Source organism: Homo sapiens, chromosome 13 (assembly GCF_000001405.40).
Source record: "Homo sapiens chromosome 13, GRCh38.p14 Primary Assembly".
Classification (NCBI taxonomy): domain Eukaryota; kingdom Metazoa; phylum Chordata; class Mammalia; order Primates; family Hominidae; genus Homo; species Homo sapiens.
In genome coordinates this window covers 100,583,711-100,589,710 of record NC_000013.11, presented here as the reverse complement: position 1 = coordinate 100,589,710, position 6,000 = coordinate 100,583,711, and the positions used below count along the sequence as shown (strand labels likewise).

Sequence of the window (6,000 nt, the reverse complement as noted above, 5' to 3'; positions counted from 1 at the left end):
TTCTTTTGGAATTGTACATCTGTTCAAAATACAATTACATCTGCATTGTTGGAAACGTTTGGATAAAAACCAGTTTATATAAAGGTTTCAATCAGTCCACATCCATGAGAAAGTAGAAAGGGCAGGAAATGATTAAGGGGGATTATTGCTAATCTGATAAACACAGATTTGTGTCTTTCGGAGAGACAGAAGTGTCACTCTCTCCATAGCTGTACCATTCCTACCACCTGGCCCCCAAGTGGCATTGCTTTAACCCATTGTCTCTAGGGAAAATGTTCTCTTTCGATTTTGGTTCTCAGTCCTATAATTTCTGGGGCTTAAATTAGTCCTGGAGCTAGGGAAGAGGTGATGTCATCCTTCCATTGTCTCCTTCGGCCACAGTTTCATTTTAAGAGTATTGGTAAGTAAGTGGGCAGTGTGACTAGATGGCGGTCTGGACTCGGTATCAGGGCTGTGTGCATGCCCAGCTGGGGGGCCTTGGTGGTGTGTGATGTGATAGATACACACATGGTTGGCATCCCCAAGTGTGTCTGCGCTTGGGTTCATTTGTGTGTGCATGTGTGTCCATTTGATGTGGCGTGTCCCCAAGCTTGTGGAGTCGTCTGTGAGTCTGTTTTGTGGGGTGTGGCCCAGGTGTGTCAGGGTCCACCATGCAGTCGGGGCTTGAGCCTGAGTGCCCAGGTGTGTTAGGGTGGATGTGACTTCTGTGGGGCGTCCCCAGGTGTGTGAAGCTGGTTGCGCTGTGTCTGCGGCGGGGCGTCTCCGGCGGGCATCGGCGTGGGTGGGTCTGGCTGTTAGGCGGCCAGTTGTGCGAGCGGCCACGTGTGTGCGAGGGCGCCGCAGGGGCTGGCGGGCCTCGCGTTCCGCCTGCAGGGGGCGCCGCCGGGGGCGGCCTGGGAGCAGAGGCGCGGGCCCGGCCCTGCATTTCCGCCCTGGCCCTGCCCTCCCCGACAGCCCCGGCTGCCGGCAGGTGAGGCGCTGAGCCCGGGCGGGGGTCGGGGCTGCGCCTGCTCCGCCCCCCAGGCGGGGTGTCCTGGCGCCCGCGGGAACCTGGGGCGTCGCTCCCTGCGCGGCGTCCGGGTCGAGGCCGCAGCACTCGGCGTCCCCGCGGGTGAGGGAGGAGGCCTGGGGCGCCGCCGGCCGGCGAGGCCAGCCGGAGGGAGGGGACGGTGGACCCCGAAACGCGTCCTCCATTGCCCCGCGCGGGGGCCACGGGCGCGATTGCCAGAACGGGCAGAGGGCGGTAAAAGCCAGGAACCGCCTCACGCACGGGCGCTGCTTCCCTGTAAAGGAAGCGTGACAGCCCACACGCTGGCTTTCAGAGGACCTCAGCTGAACCGGGCTAACACTTCTCAGAAATTGTTTTTCATTTTAAAGATTTCCTGTTTGTAAGGAGACTAGAAGCTGCAAAAGAAATCTAAAAACGTCTCCTGGCACTTGTGAATTTCTGATCTAAGGTTTCTTTGGAGCCATTAGTGAAACTTCTGAAATTTTGAAGAAATTTACTGCCTTGATTATTAATTATGGTTATCATTGCTGTTTTACTCTGTGGGCCAAGGACAACGCCACAAGCTCAAAAGCAGACTTAAGTGTTTTTTGAACACAGCTTCTTAACTCCACGCTTAGTTGATTTAATATTTAAGTGATAAGAAAATGCAGTCGATTTCTGGCCCTTTTTATTGTTTGGGATGAAGTCTTGCCCTGTTGCCCAGGCTGGAGTGCAGTGGCGCGATCTCGGCTCACTGCAACCTCTGCCTTCCGGGTTCAAGCGATTCTCCTGCCTCAGTCTCCCGGGTAGCTGGGATTACAGGCGCCTGCTATCACGCCCAGCTTATTTTTGTGTTTTTAGTAGAGACAGGGTTTCACCATGTTGGCCAGGCTGGTCTCGAACTCCTGACCCCGTGATCCGCCCGCCTTGGCCTCCCAAAATGTTGGGATTACAGGCATGAGCCACTGCACCCGGGATTTGTGGCCTTTTTTAAAAGCAAGTTATTCGTTTTGCTAAATGTCCCAGGAGAAATGATTAATGAAAAACTAAAGGTGACCTATTTAAAGTGTAGGTCTTACACACACGTAGGTGTCCTTATGTACATTTACCTGTAAGTGAAGACTTTTCCCTGGCCTCATTCAATTTATTGAAATGCTCAGATGAAGAGCACCTGCAGTTTGCCCGTATTTTCCCAAAATGCCTTGTTTTCCTGAAACTATTCCCAGAAGAAGCCAGACTTCCCTGAATAAGCAGACCACTGTGTTCTAGCAGAGATTCGTATTGTAAAAGCTGAGTTTGCAAAGTTAAATTAATTTCTAATTGGTGGATTTTTGTACGGAAATACTTTGGGCTAGTTGATTTTACTAACCAGGCCCTAACTACTACTAGTTAGGAGAGGGTGGTTGTTTGTGGTGATCTGGATAGTAGGTAGCAGTAAGCAGAATAGAAGAGGGATTTTAAAATGATCTGTTCATTTCTCTCTTTACTAGTAAGATTTCCAATCTGTGTCCATTCTTGAAGTGAAGTCATTGGGAGGCTTTGTATCCACCTCGAGCCAGGGCCCTTACCAGTGATTAGGACACCAGCAGGCTGGTGTGGAAGTGTAGTGCAGCCATGCTTGAAGAGGGGACAGGACCCAAGGAAAGGTGACAGTAAGAGGACAGAAACACGAAATATTCGCAGCCCTCTTTAGAACATCCTCCATCTAGGCAAACTCTATTAGGAATTTTAAGAGTTCTCAATTAAACATGACTGCCCAGTGTCCTGCTGAACAGGAATTCATTCTTCAGTTGAAGCTCTATTGTCAGTAAAACTACTCAGGATAAGGCAGCCGTGTTTAGGCCGTGAGGACCTGCCCCTGGACTGCGGAGCTTGCTCCGTAAAAGGCATCGTGATACCCCCTTAAATGGATTTACAGAAAAGACTTAGCTATTGGAAGTCTCTGGGATTGTATGGCATCATGAGGTAACAGACCTGGTAAATAGCTAGAACGTAGCGAAGAATGAAACCAGAGGCAGTGTGCTGTTGGAACTGAGAGGTGAGTGCTCACTGGAGGGCCAGGAGAAGGTCACAGTTGGGGAGACCTTAAGCAGAGAACAGATTTTTATAGGCACAGGAATGGAAAGGGTGGCCAACACCATGAGCAAAAATAAGAAGCTGAAAATGACAGTGTGTTCAGACAAAGGTGAACAACTGGCGTGCTGAGGCTGGACTCCGCGAGAGGAGGGGTGGGGTCGGGGGTGGGGGTGCCTGGAAAGCAAGGCTCTCCAGTGATAACCTCTACATTTTGATCAAGGTTCTGATTTTGTTTGTTTGTTTGTTTTGCTTATTGGGAAAATTTTAAGCAAACATAAAAGCCCAGCAAAGTAGAATGAATTTCCATATATCCATCAAATGGACTTCACAAGTCTTGTTTGGCCATATCCACTTCATCTTTTTTTTTCTTTTTTTGGTTGTGGCTGAAGCAGTTTAAAGCAGTTTATTCCAGACAACATAACACTTCACCCCTAAATTGTTCAGTATGTTTCTCCAGAGAAAGGGCATTTGCTTGTGTAACCATAATACAATTATCACCTCCTGATGAAATTGACAATAATTCCTTAACATTTTCTAAAACCTAGTCCATGATCAGATTTCCCTGATCACCTCAAAAATGAACTTATTTTTACTGTTGGTTTGTTTGAATCCACATCCAGACAAGAATTTGTTGACTGTTACCTTTTTATTTTATTTTATTTTTTGAGACAGGAACCAGCTCTGCTGAGATCATGGCTCACTGTAACCTCGAACTCCTGGATTCAAGCCATCCTCCCACCTCAGCCTCCTGAGTAGTTGGGATTACAGGCATGTGCCACAATGCCCAGCTATTTTTTTTTTTTTTTTTTTTTTTTTTTTTTTTTGGTGGAGACAGGTATTGCCCAGGCTGGTCTTTTTTTTTTTTTTCCTTCCTGAGACGGAGTCTCACTCACTCTTGTCACCCAGGCTGGAGTGCAGTGGCACAATCTTGGCTCACTGCAACCTCCGCCTCCTGGGTTCAAGTGATTCTCATGCCTCAGCCTCCCAAGTAGCTGGGACTACAGGCGCATGCCACCACACCCAACTAATTTTTGTATTTTTAGTAGAGACGGGGTTTCACCATGTTGGCCACACTGGTCTGGAGCTCCTGAACTCAAGTGATCCACCTGCCTCTGCCTCCCAAAGTGCTGCGATTACAGCCGTGAGCCACCGTGCTCAGCTGTTGCCCCTTTCAATCTAGGGCAGGGGTGGCAGATGTCTCTGTGAAGAGCCAGATACCAGCTCTTTCAGGCTTTGCAGGCCCTATGGTCTCTGCCACAACTGCTCAGCTCTGCCATCGTCATGCAGAAGTAGCCAGGGGTGATAGTAAATGGATAAGCATGGCTGTGTTCCAATAATACTTAATTTCCAAAGCTTTTGTGTTTTAAAATCCACCCACAGGCTGGACTTACCCGCAGGCTGTGGTTTGCCGACCCAAGTCTAGAGCAGCCTTGGCGGGTTTCCTCAATACCAATGACTGTCGATGTTACTTGGTTGATTGCCTGTAGGGTGCCTCACACTCTGGATCTGTTGGGCTGCTTTTCGTGGAGTGTGGTTTGGCTTGCTTCTCTATCCCCTATATTTCCTGTAAACTAGAAGTTAGATCTAGAGGCTTAATTAGGTTCATGCTTGCCATTTTTGGCAAGTCTACTTCAGAAGTGGTTTGACTTTTTTTAAATCTAAATTTATCTGACTTTAAAGACTTGGAAACCCTCATCAAAGAATCAAAGAAGCTCAACATTACCAAAATAGGAGCTCAGCATTACTAAAATTGGCTTTGCCTGATGGCTGAGAAGACATTTTTTCTTTTTCTTTTTACTTTTCTTATTTGTAGGAGAGTATATAGAGCTGTTATTTCTCAAATAGTTCTTTTTTGATAGTTAATTTTTGTGGGTACCTAGTAATAGGTGTATATGAGATACAATGTGTAATAATAAACCCTCATTACAAGGTATATGAGATACAATGTGTAATAATCACATCAGGGTAAATGGGGTATCCATCACCTCAAGCATTTATCTTTTGTGTTACAATCTAACGATACTCTTAGTTATTTTTAAATGTATAGTTACATTATTACTGACTATAGTCACCCTGTTGTGCTATCAAATACTAGATCTTATTCCTGCTTTCTGTGTTTTTGTACCCATTAACCATCTCTGCTTTCCCCCAACCCCCCTACTACCCTTCCTAGCCTCTGGTAACCATCATTCTGATCTCTATCTCAGTCAGTTCAATTGTTTTAATTTTTGGCTCCCACAAATGAGTAAGAACATGCAAAGTTTGTCTTTCTGTGTCTGGGTTATTTCACGTCACATAACGACCTCCGGCTGCACCATATTGTTGCAAATGACAGGATCTCCTTTTTAATGGCTGAATAGTACTTCATTGTGTATATGTACCACATTTTGTCAAGGAGGTCTTGAGAACTTTGAACCCTTTCTCTAGGTCACTGGGAAGGTTCCTCTATTCAAGGCATTCTTTGGCCCCTCAAGCATGTGGACTGCATTTTTGCACTGAATATAAGTATATTCCTTCCCTGGGTATGTGCCCAGGGTCTGAGATTGCCTTCTAATGGTAGTTAGGTCATTTATGTTTGTTTGTAAGCCCCTTATTGCTTAAATGTTTAACTTTCTTCAGTTGACTTCCTCTTATCTCACCTCCCAACAGGACTGAAAACTGGATATTTGGTCCCCATGGACTTTCTGGTCACCCTGTGAAGTGGACTTAACTTTTTCTTGAATCATGTGGAAGGATTCTGAAGTCAAAAGTTTTTAAGACTCTCAGGCTTACTGTGGATCTGGATTCTAAGGCAACACTTCCTTGAAGAAACAAGCTTACAGGTGAGAACTGTTAGCCTCTGTTCTAGAGTGTTCATTGCTCAAATTCTAGAGCACCACAAGAAGTATGCTGACAAATAGTGCCAGTTGGAAGCCCTTGTCTCTTTGTCATTTAAG

General features: G+C 46.5%; 1 protein-coding gene across 2 annotated transcripts in view, besides 1 other annotated feature; it reads left to right on the top strand.

The window, feature by feature from the left end:
* Positions 770 to 1,289: a silencer, noted in NCBI's record as "silent region_5477". NCBI's record gives its function as "represses an Ori minimal core promoter by ATAC-STARR-seq in GM12878 lymphoblastoid cells {active_cell/tissue: GM12878}" and the evidence as "EXISTENCE:reporter gene assay evidence [ECO:0000049][PMID:35858748]".
* Positions 922 to 6,000, top strand: part of GGACT (gamma-glutamylamine cyclotransferase) — a 58,610-nt gene continuing 53,531 nt past the window's right edge. The window contains exons 1-2 of one of the 2 annotated variants that reach the window (NM_001195087.2): positions 922 to 970; positions 5,714 to 5,886. The gene's annotated coding sequence lies outside the window, so the exon portion shown is untranslated. Of the gene's footprint in view, positions 1,112 to 5,713; positions 5,887 to 6,000 lie in introns of both variants that reach the window. The other variant, XM_047430708.1, reaches the window with a different exon arrangement.